The sequence below is a fragment of the Homo sapiens genome, chromosome 5 (genome assembly GCF_000001405.40).
Source record: "Homo sapiens chromosome 5, GRCh38.p14 Primary Assembly".
In the NCBI taxonomy this organism is placed as follows: domain Eukaryota; kingdom Metazoa; phylum Chordata; class Mammalia; order Primates; family Hominidae; genus Homo; species Homo sapiens.
The window spans coordinates 139,547,234-139,565,216 of NC_000005.10; the positions used below are offsets into that span (position 1 = coordinate 139,547,234).

The 17,983-nt window shown below is 47.3% G+C and overlaps 1 protein-coding gene across 3 annotated transcripts in view, besides 5 other annotated features; it reads left to right on the forward strand.

The window, feature by feature from the left end:
* The window catches only part of UBE2D2 (ubiquitin conjugating enzyme E2 D2), a 102,195-nt gene that overhangs the window by 20,994 nt on the left and 63,218 nt on the right, over positions 1-17,983 (forward strand). The window contains exons 1-2 of one of the 3 annotated variants that reach the window (NM_181838.2): positions 14,106-14,582; positions 15,011-15,174. The exons of 1 other annotated variant lie outside the window; for it this stretch is intronic. Coding sequence is in view for 1 of the 2 variants with exons in the window: in NM_003339.3 (NP_003330.1) it covers positions 14,559-14,582 (24 nt within the window). In the remaining variant the exon portion in view is untranslated. Of the gene's footprint in view, positions 1-14,105; positions 14,583-15,010; positions 15,175-17,983 lie in introns of those variants that run through there. One more of the 3 variants, NM_003339.3, reaches the window with a different exon arrangement.
* Positions 1,809-2,310: an enhancer, noted in NCBI's record as "H3K4me1 hESC enhancer chr5:138928627-138929128 (GRCh37/hg19 assembly coordinates)". NCBI's record gives its function as "activates a minimal SCP1, AML or CMV promoter by ChIP-STARR-seq in naive H9 embryonic stem cells {active_cell/tissue: H9 hESC(naive)}" and the evidence as "EXISTENCE:reporter gene assay evidence [ECO:0000049][PMID:30033119]".
* Positions 13,682-13,851: an enhancer, noted in NCBI's record as "active region_23239". NCBI's record gives its function as "activates an Ori minimal core promoter by ATAC-STARR-seq in GM12878 lymphoblastoid cells {active_cell/tissue: GM12878}" and the evidence as "EXISTENCE:reporter gene assay evidence [ECO:0000049][PMID:35858748]".
* Positions 13,882-14,541: a silencer, noted in NCBI's record as "silent region_16415". NCBI's record gives its function as "represses an Ori minimal core promoter by ATAC-STARR-seq in GM12878 lymphoblastoid cells {active_cell/tissue: GM12878}" and the evidence as "EXISTENCE:reporter gene assay evidence [ECO:0000049][PMID:35858748]".
* Positions 15,012-15,061: an enhancer, noted in NCBI's record as "active region_23240". NCBI's record gives its function as "activates an Ori minimal core promoter by ATAC-STARR-seq in GM12878 lymphoblastoid cells {active_cell/tissue: GM12878}" and the evidence as "EXISTENCE:reporter gene assay evidence [ECO:0000049][PMID:35858748]".
* Positions 15,152-15,271: an enhancer, noted in NCBI's record as "active region_23241". NCBI's record gives its function as "activates an Ori minimal core promoter by ATAC-STARR-seq in GM12878 lymphoblastoid cells {active_cell/tissue: GM12878}" and the evidence as "EXISTENCE:reporter gene assay evidence [ECO:0000049][PMID:35858748]".

The following is a 17,983-nucleotide window of genomic DNA, read 5'->3' on the forward strand; positions in this document are numbered from 1 at the left end:
TGAGCTGAGATCGCACCACTGCACTCCAGCCTGGGTGACAGAGCGAGACTCCGTCTCAAAAAAAAAGTGGCTCACACAGCAAAGGATGTGGCCAAGTCATGTATCTATCATGAGTCAGGGGGTAATTTGTAAAGACAAGAACAGAAAATGCCATGTATTTTTAGTAGAGACGCGGTTTCACCATATTGGCCAGGATGGTCTCAATCTCTTGACCTCGTGATCCACCCAGCTCAACCTCCCAAAGTGCTGGGATTACATGCGTGGGCCACCATGCCTGGCTTTTTTTTTTGTTCTTGAGATGGAGTCTTGCCTGTCACCCAGGCTGGAGTGCAGTGACATGATCTCGGCTCACTGCAACCACCACCTCCTGGGTTCAAGCAGTTCTCTACCTCAGCCTTCCGAGTAGCTAGAAGCTGGAATTACAGGTGCCTGCCACCACACCCGGCTAATTTTATTTTATTTATTTTTTTATTTTTTTTGAGACGGAGTCTCGCTCTGTTGCCCAGGCTGGAGTGCAATGGTGTGATCTTGGCTCACTGCAACCTCTGCCTCTCAGGTTCAAGTGATTCTCCTGCCTCAGCCTCCTGAGTAGCTGGGATTACAGGCGCCTGCCACCACGCCCAGCTAATTTTTGTATTTTTAGTAAAGACAGTGTTTCACCATGCTGGCCAGGCTGGTCTCGAACTCCCCACCTCAGGTGATCTGCCAGCCTCAGCCTCCCAAAGCGTTGGGATTACAGGCGTGAGCCACCGAGCCTGGCCAAAGTTTCATTATAAATTTAATGGCTGGGTGTGGTGGCTCACGCCTGTAATCCTAGCACTTTAGGAGGCTGAAGCAGGCGGATGGTTTGAGCCCAGGAGATCAAGGTTGCAGTGAGCTACAATTGCACCACTGCATTCCAGCCTGGGCGACAGAGCGAGACTCCGTCTCAAAAAAAAAAAAAAAAAAAATAAAAAAAAAAAATAAATAAATAAATAAATAAACGTTCCCTTCAAATAATACCTCCAAAAATGACAGATTTTGTAGGCAACTCATATATGCACGGCCTCTCATTCAAGTGTTCCTCGTTTTCCCACCTCCTCTATAAGATATAGAGGAAGGTTGGGGGACTGTCTGTGGATTGAACCGCCAGACTGTTTTCCAGACAGAAATCCCCCAAGATTGCTACACGGAGTGTGGGCTGAGCCTGCAGGAAACGATCCATCCTCTGCTGATGCACTGTCATCCCAGCCACAAGATCACAGGAAAAGGAGTGGTTGAGGCCTCTGGGAACCCAAAACCCCAGCTTCACAAGGACTGAGCTTGTAGATTTCCCTCATGGGCAAAAGGTTGGCTAGGAGCAGTCTTTTATAATCCCTCTTTTCTCACAAAAATCATCATCATCATCATTATCGTCATTATCAATATTTATCGAGCATTTCCTTCACACCACGAACTTTATACACACCACTTGTTATTTAACCTCACAATCTATGAATATGCTAACATTATCTCCATTTTACTAATGAGAAAAACCAGGTTTCAAGAAGTCAAGTAACTTGTCCAAACTTCACAGTATGGCCTAATAAATAGCAGAGTAGGGCTTGAACCCACTGACTTCAAAGCCCTGGTTCTTTTTTTTTTCTTTTTTTTTTAGATGGAGTCTCACTCTTTTGCCCAGGCTGGAGTGCAGTGGTGCGATCTCAGCTCACTGCAACCTCCGTCTCCCGGGTTCAAGCGATTCTCCTGCCTCAGCCTCCTGAGTAGCTGGGATTACAGGCGCGTGCCACCATGCCCAGCTAATTTTTTGTATTTTTAGTAGAGACGGGGTTTTGCCATGTTGGTCAGGCAGGTTTCGAACTCCTGACATCATGATCTGCCTGCCTCTGCCTCCCAAAGTGCTAGGTTACAGGTGTGAGCCACTGTGCCCGGTCTTAAAAGCCCTGGTTCTAAACCACTGAGAGGTGACAACGTGCTAGCAGCCCTCACTCATTCTGGGCGCCTCCTCGGCCTCGGCGTCCACTCTGGCTGCGCTTGAGGAGCCCTTCAGCCCGCCGCTGCACTGCGGGAGCCCCTCTCTGGGCTAGCTGAGGCCGGAGCCAGCTCCCTCTGCTTGCGGGGAGGTGTGGAGGGAGAGGCCCAGGCAGGAACTGGGGCTGCGCGCATGGCACTCGAGGGCCAGCGCGAGTTCCGGGTGCGCGGGGTCTTGGCGGCCCCGCACTCCGAGCGGCCGGCTGGCGCCGTGGGCCCAGGAAGTGAGGGGCTTAGCACCCTGGCCAGCCGCTGTGGAGGGTGCACTGGGTCCCCCAGCACTGCAGGCCCACCTGCTCTGCGCTCAAATTCTTGCCGGGCCTCAGCACCTGCCCGCAGGGCAGGGCTAGGGATCTGCAGCCCGCCATGCCTGAACACCCTCCCCCTACACCGTGAGCTCGCGGGGCTGGAGACTCCCCGACGGGGCGCCACCCCCTGCTCCGCGGCGCCCCATCCCATCGACCGCCCAAGGGCTGAGGAGTGCAGCTGCGCAGAGCGGGACTAGCGGGCAACTCCGCCCCGGCCCAGCACAGGATCCACTAGGCGAAGCCAGCTGGGCTCCTGAGTTGGGTGGGGACTTGGAGAACTTTTATGTCTAGCTGGAGGAGTGTACATGCGCCAATCAGCACTCTGTGTCTAGCTCAGGGTTCATGGATGCAGCAATCAGCACTCTATCTAGCTAATCTGGTGGGGACTTGGAGAAACTTTATGTCTAGCTAAAGGATTGTAAATACACCAATTAGCACTCTGTGTCTAGCTCAAGGTTTGTAAACACACTAATCAGCACCCTGTGTCTAGCTCAAGGTTTGTAAATGCACCAATCAGTGCTCTGTGTCTAATCTAGTGGGGACTTGGAGAACCTTTATGTCTAGCTAAAGGATTGTAAATACACCAATCAGCATTCTGTGTCTAGCTCAAGGTTTGTAAACACACCAGTCAGCAGTCTGTGTCTAGCTCAAGGTTTGTAAACGCATCAATCAGCACCCTGTGTCTAGCTCAAGGTTTGTAAATGCACCAATCAGTGCTCTGTGTCTAGTTAATCTAGTGGGGACTTGGAGAACTTTTACCTCAGGCTGGAGGATTGTAAATACAGCAATCAACACTCTGCGTCTAGCTCAGGGATTGTAAATGCACCAATCAGCACCCTGTCAAAACAGACCAATCAGCTGTCTGTAAAATGGACCAATCAGCGCTCTGTAAAATGGACCAATCAGCTCTCTGCAAATGGGCCAATCAGCAGGATGTGGGTGGGGTCAGAAAAGGGAATAAAAGCAGGCTGCCTGCGCTAGTAGTGGCAACTGGCTCAGGTTCTCTTCCACGCTCACGCTATGGGAGTTTTGTTTTTTTGATCTTTGAGATAACTTGCTGCTGCTCATTCTTTGGGTACACACTGAGTTTATGAGCTGTAACACTCTTCGTGAAGCTCTGCAGCCTCAATCCTGAGGCCACCGAGACCATGAACCCATGGGAGGAATGAGTAACTCCAGACGCGCTGCCTTAAGAGGTGTAATACTCACTGTGAAAGTCTGCAGCTTCACTCCTGAAGCCAGTGAGACCACAAATCCACCAGAAGGAAGAAACTCCAAACACGTCTGAACATCAGAAAGAACAAACTCCGGACATACCATCTTTAAGAACTGTAGCACTCATCATGAGAGTCTGGGGCTTCATTCTTCAAGTCAGTGAGACCAAGAACCCACCAATTCCAGATACACCACAGTATCATTGTACTACACGGCTCTCAGCACCACTGACCTTGGTATGGGAAAAAGCACAAGTGTGCATACCATCTTATTCTCCTTTTAGAATATTTCACCGGCGGGGGAGGGGGGAGGTCACACCTGTAATCCCAGCACTTTGGGAGATTGAGGCGGGTGGATTGTCTGAAGTCAGGAGTTCGAGACCAGCCTGGCCAATATAGTGAAACCCCATCTCTACTGAAATTACAAAAAATTAGCTGGATGTGGTGGTGGGTGCTTGTAATTCCAGCTACCCAGGAGGCTAAGGCAGGTCTTGAATTGCTTCAACCCATGAGGCAGAGGTTGCAGTGAGCTAAGATCGTGCCATTGCACTCCAGCCTGGGCAACAAGAGTGAAACTCCATCTCAAAGAAAAAAAAAGAATATTTCTCCAGGAGAACTCCACACTTGCACAATATCTTCTCCAAGGACAGAAGAGGGACAATATTTGTCCTTCCTACTGGATTTTGAAACCCTTTGCACTGAGTGTAGACTGTAGTTCTGTGACATACCATGAAGAGTGTGTGTGTGTTTTAAGGGAGCTACTGTCTTACCCAAAACCTGTGAATATAAAGTGTTTTTTCATGAATTGCTCATTATTCAGCCAGTCGTTAATGAATTCATTCAACAAGTGTCTCTGAGATGCTAGACACTGGGGATTAAAAGAGGAACAACAGAGACAAGATCTCTGCCCTCCAGAAACTGACAGTCTATTGAATGAGACAGTTGTCTAACAATCACAATCAAGTGTGATCAATCTCTGGTGACAGGACTCTAACCTAGAGGCATGTGCCTAATCTGGGGTGACTGGTTAGGGAAAACTTCCAAAAAAGTTGTGACTTTTAGGCTAAAACCAGACTGCTAATAAACATAAAGTGTTACAGGAAGTAAGTGGCAAAGCTACTGTCATTTTTTTACTTAGCAATTTCAATGAAGTGGGGCATGGATATGGTGCCAGATCCCAACAATAGAATAAATGCTGGTAAGCAGAACACATCCCAAATCTAATTACTTTAATGAGAGAGAACAACAGTACAAAAGGAATGTAAAATCAAGTATAATTCCTTGGATAAACCACTGTTCCCACTTTTGGCCATGAAAAAATGAGTTACTACAAACTGACAAAGCTTACCTTTCCAAATAAATAGATTAGCCTCTAATAGATAAGCTCTAATAGCTAACTTTTTTTTTTTTTTTTTGAGACGGAGTCTCACTCTGTTGCCCAGACTGGAGTATAGTGGCGTTATCTGGGCTCACTGCAGCCTCCCCTTCCTGGGTTCAAGCAATTGTCCTGCCTCAGTCTCCCGCGCAGCTGGGATTACAGGTGTGCACCACCACGCCTGGCTAACTTTTTTTTGGTATTTTTAGTAGAGACGGGGTTTTGCCATGTTGGCCAGGCTGGTCTCGAACTCCTGACCTCAGGTGATCCACCTGCCTCGGCCTCCCAAAGTGTTGGGATTACATGCATGAACCACCGTGCCCAGCCTCTAATAGCTAACTTCTTTTTTTGTTTCTTTTTTCTTTTTTCTTTTTTTTTTTTTTTTGAGATGGAGTTTTGCTCTTGTTGTCCAGGCTGGAGTGCAATGGCGAGATCTCGGCTCACGGCAACCTCCGCCTCCTGGGATCAAGTGATTCTCCTGCCTCAGCCTCCCGAGTAGCTGTGATTATAGGCATGTGCCACCACGCTTGGCTAATTTTTTTTTTTTTTTTTTTTTTTTGAGACAGAGTTTCTCTCTTGTTGCCCAGGCTGGAATGCAATGGCACGATCTTGGCTCACCGCAACCTCCACCTCCCAAGTTCAAGCGATTCTCCTTCCTCAGCCTCCCAAGTAGCTGGGAATACAGGCATGCGCTACCATGCCCAGCTAATTTTGTATTTTTAGTAGAGACGGGGTTTCTCCATGTTAGTCATGCTGGTCTCGAACTCCCGATCTCAGGTGATCCACCTGCCTTGGCCTCCCAAAGTGCTGGGACTACAGGCATGAGCCACCGCACCCGGCCTCTAATTTTGTATTTTTAGTAGAGACCGGGTTTCTCCATGTTGGTCAGGCTGGTCCAGAACTCCTGACCTCAGGTGATCCGCCCGCCTTGGCCTTCTGAAGTGCTGGGATTACAGGCATAAGCCACCGCTCCTGGCCTCTACTAGCTGACATCTAATAGTGGTATCATCTTACAGAGTCTAGAATGTTTTGAGACAATCTTACATTTAAAAACTATACCTTACGAAATACCAGAAAAAGGGATCATACTGATGCAGCTAGGAAATCAATAACAGGTTATTCAATACTGCTTCATCAGCCATTCTCATAAAACACGATGAGCTCCCCTATAGGGTTGCTGAGATCCGGAAATAGGGAGTTCCCAAACTGCTTGGGCTGTACTCTCTATTCAGTAGTACTTTTTACCACAGCAGTCATCTGTCTATTTATATTAATGAGACTGTTGTCCTTATCATTTAATCTCCAGCTATATCACAGCTGTCAGCTGTGGGAACACCTTTGCCAAGGGAAAGCCTCTAAATACTAAAATGTTTGCAGCACTAGGTTAACAACCAAGAGGGGAGATCAAACTCCAGGAACATGCAGTGTGCTTGCAATTTCAGTAAGGTAACAGAAGGTAAACCAGGGCCTGTATGATCCACATGGGGTGAGTGGGAAGAAAAATGACCCCAAGGCAAAATCAATTATATAAGGCCTGAAAATTCTTTACACCCTTTAAAAATTTATAATATTGTTTCTATACATATATCCAATGTACATACAATAAATCTTTAATGTTTGGTTCCATGAGTTATTTATTTATTTATTTAAATTTTTTGAGATGGAATCTTACTCTGTCACCCAGGCTGGGCTGCAGAGGCGCGATCTTGGCTCACTGCAACCTCTGCCTCCCAGGTTTAAGCGATTCTCGTGCCTCAGCCTCCTAAGTAGCTGGGACTACAGGTGCCCGCCACCACGCCTGGCTAATTTTTATATTTTTAGTAGAGATGGGGTTTCACCATGTTGGCCAGGCTGGTCTTGAACTTCTGACCTCAGGTGATCTGCCTGCCTCAGCCTCCCAGAGTGCTGGGATTACAGGCATGAGCCACCACGCCCGGCCAAGGTTCCATGAGTTTTGACAATTGTATAAACTTGTATAACCTCCAACCAAAACAATAGAAAGAACATTTCCATTACCCTAAAGAATTTCCTTGATCGCATTTTTTTTTTAAAGGCTCATGCAGACAGAATAATACTGAGAATGGGGTCTCATTGTGTTGCCTAGGCTGGCTTCAAACTCCTGGGCTCAGGTGATCCTCCCACCTCAGCCTCCCGAGTGGCTGGGACCACAGGCACGTGCCACTGTGCCAGGGCTCTGACTCTTTCCCTGACAAATCATCTCGCCAAAGTCACCACCTGACTTCACACAACAAAAATTCGTTTTGTCTGTTTTTGAACTTCATTTAATGGAATCATACAGCCCATATTCTGTTTTTGTTTTGCTTATCATTTTGAGATCCACCCATGTTGAGTGTATCAATAGTTTGACCTGTTGTTGGTGTTGAGCAGTGTTCCATTGTTTGAATGTGTCATAATGTGTTATTCCATCCTCCTGTGGATGGATACTTGGGCTGTCTCTAGTTTTGGACTATATACAAAAAAGGCTGCTATAAATATTTGTGTACAACTCTTTTTGGGGACATATATTTTCATTTTTCTTGCATACCAAAGAGTAGAACGGCTGCGTCATATGGTAGATGCATGTTTAACTTAATAAGAAATCACCAAACAGTTCTCCTAACTGATTATACCATTTTACATCCCCACTTGCAATGTATGAGAGTTCCAATTGCTGTACATCCTTGTCACCATTTATTTCTGTCAATGTTTTTTATTTTAGCCATTCTAGTGGGTATGAAATGATATCGTGATTTTTTTTTTTAAGGCTAGTCAGGTGAAGCAGTGGGCACGGAAAAGGGACAAAGAAATCTGTAACTGGTTGTGATCAATTAGTTGTAAACATCACATCATTCATATTAGCCGCTCATTGTGACTTTAACTTGCATTTCCTCTTATTTTTTTTTGTTTTTTGTTTTTTTTTTTTGAGACAGGGTCTCACTCTGTCACCCAGGCTGGAGTGCAATGGCACAATCTTGGCTAACTGCAACTTCTGCGTCCCAGGTTCAAGCGATTCTCCTGCCTCAGCCCCTGAAGTAGCTGGGACTACAGGCATGTGCCACCACACCTGGCTAATTTTTGTATTTTTTGTAGAGGCTGGGTTTCACTGCCCAGGCTGGTCTCGAACTCCTGAGGTCAAGTGATCCACCCACCTTGGCCTCCCAAAGTGTTGGGATTAAAGGTGTGAGTCACTGCACCCGGCCTAACTTGCATTTCCTTGATGATTAATGAATTCCAAATAATTTTAACATTATTTGAAAATTATTTGAAATTATTTGAAAATAATTTGAAAATTATTTGGAAATAATTTGAAAATAACACTTGATCAAAGAATAAATTCCAAGGAAAATTAGAAAAACATTGAACTGAATAAAAATGAAAACCCAACATATCAAACTTGTAGCGTGTGGCAAAGCAGTGTGCTTTTACTGGAAAGTGCTTTTATCAGGAAAAAAGAAAATTATAAAATTGGTCATCTAAACTCCTACTTTAAGAATCTAGAAAAACGGCCAGATGTGCTGGCTCATGCCTGTAATCCCAGCACTTTGGGAGGCCGAGGTGGGCAGGGATCACGAGGTCAAGAGATAGAGATCATCCTGGCCAACATGGTGAAACCCTGTGTCTACTAAAATACAAATATTAGCTGGGGATGGTGGCACATGCCTGTAGTCCCAGCTACTTGGGAGGCTGAGGCAGGAGAATCGCTTGAACCCGGGAGGCAGAGGTTGCAGTGAGCTGAGATCACGCCACTGCACTCCAGCCTGGTGACAAAGGAAGACTCCATCTCAAAAAAAAAAAAAAAAAAAAAAAAAAAAAAGGCCAGGCACGGTGGCTCACACCTGTAATCCCAGCACTTCGGGAGGCTGAGGTGGGCGGATCACCTGAGGTCAGGATTTTGAGACCAGCCTGACCAACATGGAGAAACCCCGTCTCTACTAAAAATACAAAATCATCTGGGCATGGTGGCACATGCCTGTAATCCCAGCTACTCGGGAGGCTGAGGAAGGAAAATCACTTGAGCTCGGGAGGTAGAGATTGCGGTGAGCTGAGATCGTGCCATTGCACTCCAGCCAGGGCAACAAGGGCAAAACTCCATCTCAAAAAAAAAAAAAAGAAATCAAACATTAGCTGGGCGTGGTGGTGCATGCCTGTAATCCCAGCTACTTGGGAGGCTGAGGCAGAATCACCTGAACCCGGGAGGTGGAGGTTGCAGTGAGCTGAGATCTCTGCCACTGTACTCCAGCCTGGGCAACAGAGCAAGGCTCTGTCTCAAAAATAAGTAAACAAATAAACTTAAAAAAAAAAGGAAGCTAGAAAAATAACAAATTAAAGTAGGTAGAAATAACAGAAGAAATCAATAAAATAGAAAATGGATTGAACAACAAATAAGGACAAAATTTTGTTCTTTAGGAGAATTGATAAATCCCTTGCTATATTTATCAAGGAAAAAATAGAGAAGGCACACATTACCAACATCAGAAATACAAAGGGACATCACAATGGATGCTACAGATAGTATTAGGTTGCTGCAAAAGTAATGGCAGTTTTGCCCATTAACCTAATAAAAGGAAAAATAAAAGGATATTATGAGTAACTTTATTCTAATAAATTGGACAACATAAATGAACAAATTCCTTGAAAAACACAAATTATCACAATTGACACAAGAAGAAAAAGAAAATCTGAATAGTTCCATACTTTTTTTTTTTTTTTCTGCAACATAGTCTTGCTTTGTCGCCCAGGCTGGAGTGCAGTGGCGCAATCTCGTCTCACTGCAACCTCTGCCTCCCGGGTTCAAGCAATTCTCCTGCCTCAGCCTCCTGAGTAGCTGGGATTACAGGCGCTCACCACCATGCCCAGCTAATTTTTGTATTTTTAGTAGAGACGGGGTTTCATCATGTTGGCCAGGCTGGTCTTGAACTCCTGACCTTGTGATCTGCCTGCCTCGGCCTCCCAAAGTGCTGGGATTACAGGTATGAGTCACTGTGCCCAGCCAACTTTTATTTCTTTTTTGAGACTGAGTTTTGCTCTTGTTGCCCAGGCTGGAGTGCAATGGTGCAATCTCGACTCACTGCAACCTCCGCCTCCCGGGTTCAAGTGATTCTCCTGCCTCAGCCTCCCAAGTAGCTGGGATTAAAGGCAGCACCACCACGCCTGGCTAATTTTGTATTTTTTTTTAGTAGAGACATGTTTCACCATGTTGGCCAGGTCAGTCTTGAACTCCTGACCTCAGGTGATTCACCAGCCTCGGCTTCCCCAAGTGCTGAACCTTGATATGAAAATTTGGTGAAGATATTACAAAAAAAGAAAATTATAAATCAATATCCCAGCTGGACGCAATGGCTCACACCTGCAATCCCAGCAGTTTGGGAGGCCGAGGCGGGCAGATCATCTGAGGTCTGGAGTTCGAGACCAGCCTGGCCTACATGGTGAAACCCTGTCTCTACTAAAAAATACAAAAATTAGCCAGGCGTTGTGGTGCACACCTGTATCCCAGCTACTTGGGAGGCTAAGGCAGGAGAATCACTTGAACCCGGAGACGGAGACTGCAGTGAGCCGAGATCGCACCACTGCACTCCAGGCTCGGCAATAGAGTGAGAGTCTGTCTCAATAAATAAATAAACAAACAAACCAATATCCCTCATGAACACAGATGCAAAAATCTGCATATCTGTTAATGCTGCAGTTTCATTTCTAGGAGTTTATCCTAAGGCACTCTTAGAGCTGTATAAAGATTAAGAGTCTGTTTATCAAGAAGAGTCATATGATTTTTTTTAAAAAAAGATCCTGTTTCTACAAAAAATAAATAAAAATTAGCCAGGCATGGTGGCTCCAGCTTATAGTTCCAGCTACTCAGCGGGCTGAAGTGGGAAGATCACTTGAGCCAGGAGTTGGAGGCTGACGTGTACCACTGCACTCCAGCCTGAGGGAGAGACAGTGACCCCATCTCAAGAAAAAAAAAGAAAAAAGATGAACTATAGGATAGCTAGGATATTTACCACAGCATTATTTTAATAGTAAAAATGGGAAACAAATGTTCCCCAAAATGTGACCAGTTAAATAAATATGGTACATTTATATGCTAGAATACAAAGCCATTAAAATAAGGTAGAAATATTTGAAACAGGAAAATTCACGATATATTGTTTATTTTCTTATTTGTTTTTTGAGACAGAGTCTTGCTCTGTTGCCCAGACTGGAGTGCAGTGGCGCGATCTCAGCTCACTGCAAGCTCTGCTTCCCGGGTTCACGCCATTCTCCTGCCTCAGCCTCCTGAGTAGCTGGGACTACAGGCGCCCGCCAACCAAGCCCGGCTAATTTTTTGTATTTTTGGTAGAGACGGGGTTTCACCGTGTTAGCCTGGATGGTCTTGATCTCCTGACCTCGTGATCCGCCCGCCTCGGCCTCCCAAAGTGTTGGGATTACAGGCGTGAGCCACCGCGCCCAGCCAATATATTGTTTATTTTCAAGGTAGATTACCAAACAGTATTATGCAATGACCCCACATTTTTCAAAGAAAAATATGTATTGATATTTATATGTAAGGGAAAAAAAGACTAGAAGGACATTAACCAAATGTCAAAAGTGGTTAATTATTGGATGATGAGAGTGTGGGTGACTTTTATTTCCTTCCTTTACTTATAGGTATGTCTTACAACAAATACATATTGCTTTTTTTTTAAGAGAGGATCTTGCTCTTTCACCACACCTGAGGTGCAGTGGAACCACCACGGCTCACTGCAGTTTTGACCACCCAGGCTCAAGCTATCCTCCCCACCTCAGCCTCCCAAGTAGCTGGGACCACAGGTGCGTGCTACCATACCTGGCTAATTTTTACAATCTTCTGTAGAGATGAAGTCTCTATATTGCCCAGGCTGGTCTGGAACTCCTGAGTTCAAGTGATCTTCCCGCCTCAGCTTCCCAAATTACTGAGATTACAGGCGTGTCCAGGAGCTTTTCTAATACAAAAGTTATTACTGAGAATAACTTTAAAAAAAAAATCTGTCGGCCGGGCGCGGTGGCTCACGCCTGTAATCCCAGCACTTTGGGAGGCCGAGGCGGGCGGATCACGAGGTCAGGAGATTGAGACCATCCTGGATAACAAGGTGAAATCCCGTTTCTACTAAAAATACAAAAAAATTACCCGGGCGTGCTTGCAGGTGCCTGTAGTCCCAGCTACTCGGGAGGCTGAGGCGGGAGAATGGCCTGAACCCGGGAGAAGAGCTTGCAGTGAGCCGAGATAGCGTCACCGCACTCCAGCCTGGGCGACAGAGTGAGACTCCGTCTCAAAAAAAAAAAAAAAGAAATCTGTCCAGTGGAGATTTTTGTACCCCTCCCATCACATTTCTTAGGAAGAAAATATCTGGGGCTGTGAGATGTTCCATTTTACCCTCAACCTCAACTATACCCACCCTGAACCACTGGATACAATTTTCTCTCACTGGGTGCACGGTGCTTCTGTCCTAATGGTCCAACCTTCTCAGTAGGTGAGGCAGTATGAGCTTTGCCACTCACCTACTGTGTGGCTTTTGGCAAGATCCTTCCCTTAGTTGGGCTCCAGTTTTTTCTTCTCTATAAATTCAGGAGCTAGAATCAATGATCTGCAAGGTCCTTTCTGGATGTAGCGAAAAGGAGACATTTAGAATCAGAAAACGCCAGGGGTAGATTTCAGAATGTGGGCATTACCTCCCAGCAAAATATTCTTTACTATTCTCCTGTGTAAGGCCTCTAGCCCTGGCTTGGCTCCGTATCTCACACCAGTCATGGTGTAGGGCTGGGCACAGGGTAGGTGCTCAGTGATTTAGCTTTTTGTCTCCATCTCCTAAAAAACAATTCCAAATATTCTAGGTTTGATTTTCAGCGGACCCTCCTGATGGGTATCTGGAGCACGAGGTTGGTTTTTTTTTTTTTTTTGGAGATGGAGTTTTGCTCGTCGCCCAGGCTGGAGTGCAATGGCGTGCTCTCGGCTCACTGCAACCTCTGCCTCCTGGGTTCCAGCGATTCTCCTGCCTCAGCCTCCCCAGTAGCTGGGTTTACAGGAACCTGCCACCACTCTCGGCTATTTTTTTTTTTTTTTTTTGAGACGCATTCTTGCTGTTGCCTAGGCTGGAGTGAACTGGCGTGATCTCGGCTCACGGCAACCTCCGCCTCCCGGATTCAAGCGATTCTCCTGCCTCAGCCTCCCGAGTAGCTGGGACTACAGGCGCCTGCCACCATGCCCGGGTAATTTTTGTATATTTAGTACAGAAGGGGTTTCACTGTGTTGGCCAGGCTGGTCTCGAATTCCTGACCTCGTGATCCGCCTGCCTTGGCCTCCCAAAGTGCTGGGATTACAGGCGTGAGTGACCGTGCCCGGCCTAATTTTTGTATTTTTAGTAGAGATGGGGTTTCACCATGTTGGCCAGGCTGGTCTCGAACTCTTGACCTCAGGTGATGCGCCAGCCTCAGCCTCCCAAAGTGCTGAGATTACAGGGGTGAGTCACCGCGCCCAGCCGTTGGTTTTAACTATTTGGGGCACACACTGTGATTTTTTTTCTGACGCAGCTGGTACAGTGCTTGCTTGTAACAATTTGCAATTCACTAAGCTGAGCAGAGTCTGGACACCTCGAAGGCACACATACATGCCAGTGGCTGAGAACACAACATTCAAATCCTCTCCATCTGGGGCCTTGGTCCGGAAGGCCAATCTCACTGCAACCCGAGCGGCTATGAGACATCTCCCTCGTGGCAGGTGCCCGAGCTGTAGCCACGCGGCCTCTGGAAAGAGATGTGCTAAGTCCCAGGACTTCAGAAGAGCTCTGTGACCTTGGCCAAGTCCCTTCCTCCTTCAGGAGCGCTGCAGTGGGCCTAAGTGCCTCCTCCCGGGACTAGTACGGGGACGGTCGTGAGATCTGGACAACATTCGCCTTTTAATATTTATTGATCTTTTGTGACACGCGCGTGGGTTTCCATCAGCAATGAAGTCAACGGTCGCGGCGCTGGAGCCTGCAGAACTCGCGCTCTAGATCTCGCGAGATCTCCGCCCAGGGCTTCGCAGCGTCACGCCCTCCGGGGCCGTGGCGGCGACGGCGGTGCGTAGCTTACTCACAGGGGCGGCCCGTATCCCTCCGCCGCCGGCGCGGCTCGGCCCTCCCTCCCCTGGCCCGCCAATCCCCGCGCCTCCCGACCTGCCCCTCGGTCGGGCCCACCCCGTGCTCCGACGGCCCCACCCCGGCGGCGCAGCCCGCCCGCCCGCGCGTCCCTCGGTCCACCTGCAGCAGGGAGGAAGACAGGCAATCCCTCCGGCTGTCCGACCAAGAGAGGCCGGCCGAGCCCGAGGCTTGGGCTTTTGCTTTCTGGCGGAGGGATCTGCGGCGGTTTAGGAGGCGGCGCTGATCCTGGGAGGAAGAGGCAGCTACGGCGGCGGCGGCGGTGGCGGCTAGGGCGGCGGCGAATAAAGGGGCCGCCGCCGGGTGATGCGGTGACCGCTGCGGCAGGCCCAGGAGCTGAGTGGGCCCCGGCCCTCAGCCCGTCCCGCCGGACCCGCTTTCCTCAACTCTCCATCTTCTCCTGCCGACCGAGATCGCCGAGGCGGCCTCAGGCTCCCTAGCCCCTTCCCCGTCCCTTCCCCGCCCCCGTCCCCGCCCCGGGGGCCGCCGCCACCCGCCTCCCACCATGGCTCTGAAGAGAATCCACAAGGTAAGCGGCCGGAGGTCGGCTGCGCTGCTGGCCAGCTGAGCAGGCTGCGGCCTGCACTTCCCGCCGTAGTCTCCGTCGGGCTCGCGGCCTCCTTGGATCTTGCTGCCGGTGCTGGCCCCTCGGGGCGGCCTCCATACCCCACTCCCAGTGATGGCGCCCGTGGAGGCCCCGGCGCGCAGCCCGCGCTTAGGCCGGAGGTGCTCTCGCGGCCTCAGCGTTCCTCCCCGGCTGCCCTTCCAGGCCCGCATGGTGTGGACTCTTAGGGCTTCTCTCCAGTCTGGGACTGCCGCTGCACTTGAGGGCCATTGTCGGGCCAGGATGGCGGGGTTGGGGCCGAGGGGGGCGCTGGGGCGTTGGGCGGCCCCTTCGACAGAGGTCGAAAGGGCTTCTCGCCCCATTTCTGTTCCCTCCTCCCACACCTGCCCTAGCTCCCTCCACAAAACCGCCTGAGCTCGGGCTGACAGAGGAAGCCGTTTTGCCCGATCCACAAGTATATCCTGAGTTCACTTACCTCTTGGGTGGCAGCACACATCGGTCCACCCTGCTTGTCCAGAAACTGTTAAGAGTTGGAAGTTCAGAAGAAAAAAAAAAGGTGACTTAATGAGGGAGGAGGGAAGTAGAGGGAGAATCATTTTATTCCTTGAGGTTGCTGTATGTAGTTAGAAACTAACACTTCCGTTTTGCAGGATTGGATCTAATAGAAAAGCTGTACATTGGCAAAGGTAGAGGTAGAAACCTGAACATTGAAAACCACCAGAGAAATTATACAAAAGTTCCTTTCACAGCCTCTTCGCAAAATGGACTTGACGCTATTAGGTGATATGTTTACCGAGACTCTTAACTGGGAAGGGGTTTTACTAGATTTTGTATTAAAAAGGATTTCTTTGCTCTTTAAAGTGAAGGGTTATTTAGTTATCAATAAGGAGGTTTTCCTAATAATACATCTAGACTATAAGATTGGCTTAAAATTTATTTTTTTTCCCTTTCTGATGTTGTAACCTCTTAGTGCCACTTTCATGTTTTTTTTCTTAGAAGTAGGGAGGCACCACTATTAATTTCTGTTTGGTGTTTCACTTGGCTACTCAGATTGGCTATATTAAACCGGTAGCTACTTTTTTCTTCAATACATCTTTTTCCTTTTAGTGGAGAACGGGGTCTTGCCGTGTTGTCCAGGCTGGTGTGGAACTCCTGGGCTCAAGCTAGCCTCCTGTCTCTGCCTCCCTTAAGTGTTGGAATTACAGGCATCAATCAGCCACTGCACACGGCCTATACCTGTAGCTACTTAGAAGTAGGTACTGGGGTTATCCATTCTGAATGATGGGATGGGGATGCAAGAGGAAGAGAACCAGTTTTTAGCTTGTCTTAAACTAAGTCAGAATACAGATTGATGATTTAAACACCTCAGCTCAGCGGTTGGTCCTCATTTCATTTTTGCTCAAAGACAGTGTGGAATCAGTCCCATTGGTTACTATAATTAGGTTAGCTCCTTAACTTCTTTTGACTCTGATTTCTAACAAATGAAGAAGGGCAGATTTTAGACAATAAATCTTGTACTAAAATGAAATGGTATTTGTTAAATACCATAAAGAAGCTTGAACCTTAAGCAAAGATGTCTTAAAGAACCGTTTAAGGGGCAGGGGAGCACACTGAGGAGTAGTCATCCAAAAAAAATATATACATATGTATTTTAAAGGCTTTTAGGAATTGCTAGGTCCTTATAGAATCTAACTGGGAAGTTATCAAATACCTGTAGAAGCTTGTCCTCTTATTTTATAACCTGAGAAAGAGCAAGTGGGTATAATGTGTAATAATTTACAGATAAAGAAATGTAGACCTGCCGGGCGCGGTGGCTCACGCCTGTAATCCCAGCACTTTGGGAGGCTGAGGTGGGTGGATCACGAGATCAGGAGATCGAGGCCATCCTGGCTAACACGGTGAAACCCCGTCTCTGCTAAAATATACAAAAAAAACTAGCCGGGCTTGGTGGCGGGTTCCTGTAGTCCCAGCTACTCTGGAGGCTGAGGCAGGAGAATGACGTGAACCGGGGAGGCGGAGCTTGCAGTGAGCCGAGATCGCGCCACTGCACTCCAGCCTGGGCCACAGGCGAGACTCCCTTTCAAAAAAAAAAGAAATGTAGACTTTAATCTCTACATTGAATTATATGTGTAACGGACTTTTTCAGAGAGGGAACTATCTCTTTGACACAAAACATACGTTTTAATTAATAATACTTGCTCTGGTAATATAGTTTCTTATGAGTTGCTACATATTTTCTAGAATAGATTTTCCTTAAAATATGCCTTTGTAAGATTTTTTTAATAAAATCAAGTTTAGAAATAATTTGAACTTTTTTGGGGGATAGAGTTTCAGTCTTGTCGCCCAGGCTGGAATGCAATGGCACGATCTCAGCTCACCGCAACCTCCACCTCCTGGGTTCAAGTGATTTTTCTGCTTCAGCCTCCCGAGTAGCTGGGATTACAGGCACGCACCACCACACCTGTCTAATTTTTGTGTTTTTAGTAGAAACGGGGTTTCACCATGTTGGCCAGGCTGATTTCTAGTTCCTGACCTCCGGTGATCCACCTGCCTCAGCCTCCCAAAGTGTTGGGATTATAGGCGTGAGCTACCGTGCCCGGCCTGAACTTTTTTTTTTTTGGAGACGGAGTCTCCCTCTGTCGCCCAGGCTGGAGTGCAGTGGTGCTATCCTGGCTCACTGCAACTTCCGCTTCCTGGGTTCAAGCGATTCTCCTGCCTCAGCCTCCGGAGTAGCTGGGATTACAGGCACTCCGCCGCCATGCCCAGCTAATTTTTGTATTTTTAGTAGAGACGGGATTTCACCATGTTGGCCAGGCTGGTCTTGAACTCCTGACCTCAAGTGTTCTGCCACCTTGGCCTCCCAAAGTGCTGGGATTGCAGATGTGAGCCACGTCATCTGGCCTGGCCTGAACTTTTAGAATTCAATATTAACCATTTTCCCCTAGTTTATTCCCTAGAGCTCTTCACAAAGTATGGCTTGACTTCTCTGAGACAGCTAGTGATAAGAAAAATGAAGTTTATTTTGGTATACCACTCAAAAAGATTGTGAAAACAAAATGGAGATTAATTTTTTTTTTCCAAACTCTTTGTACCACAATTTTAAGTTGAATAGCTGACTTCCTAGGCATGGATAAGATCAGTTCTATCTTATCTTCTGTCCTAGTAATGTGTCTGCAGTGGAATCCCCATTGCTTGGCTTCTATAATTGATCTTGAACCTTCCCAATTATCATTCCCTGAAAAAATAATTCTACTTAAATACCTTCTTGACTTAAATGTCATGAGTTGCTACATCTGGGTTCTGATAAGATTTTTCTAAGAAAAACTACATTTGACATGTGACATCTTCAGGAATTCAATATCTTG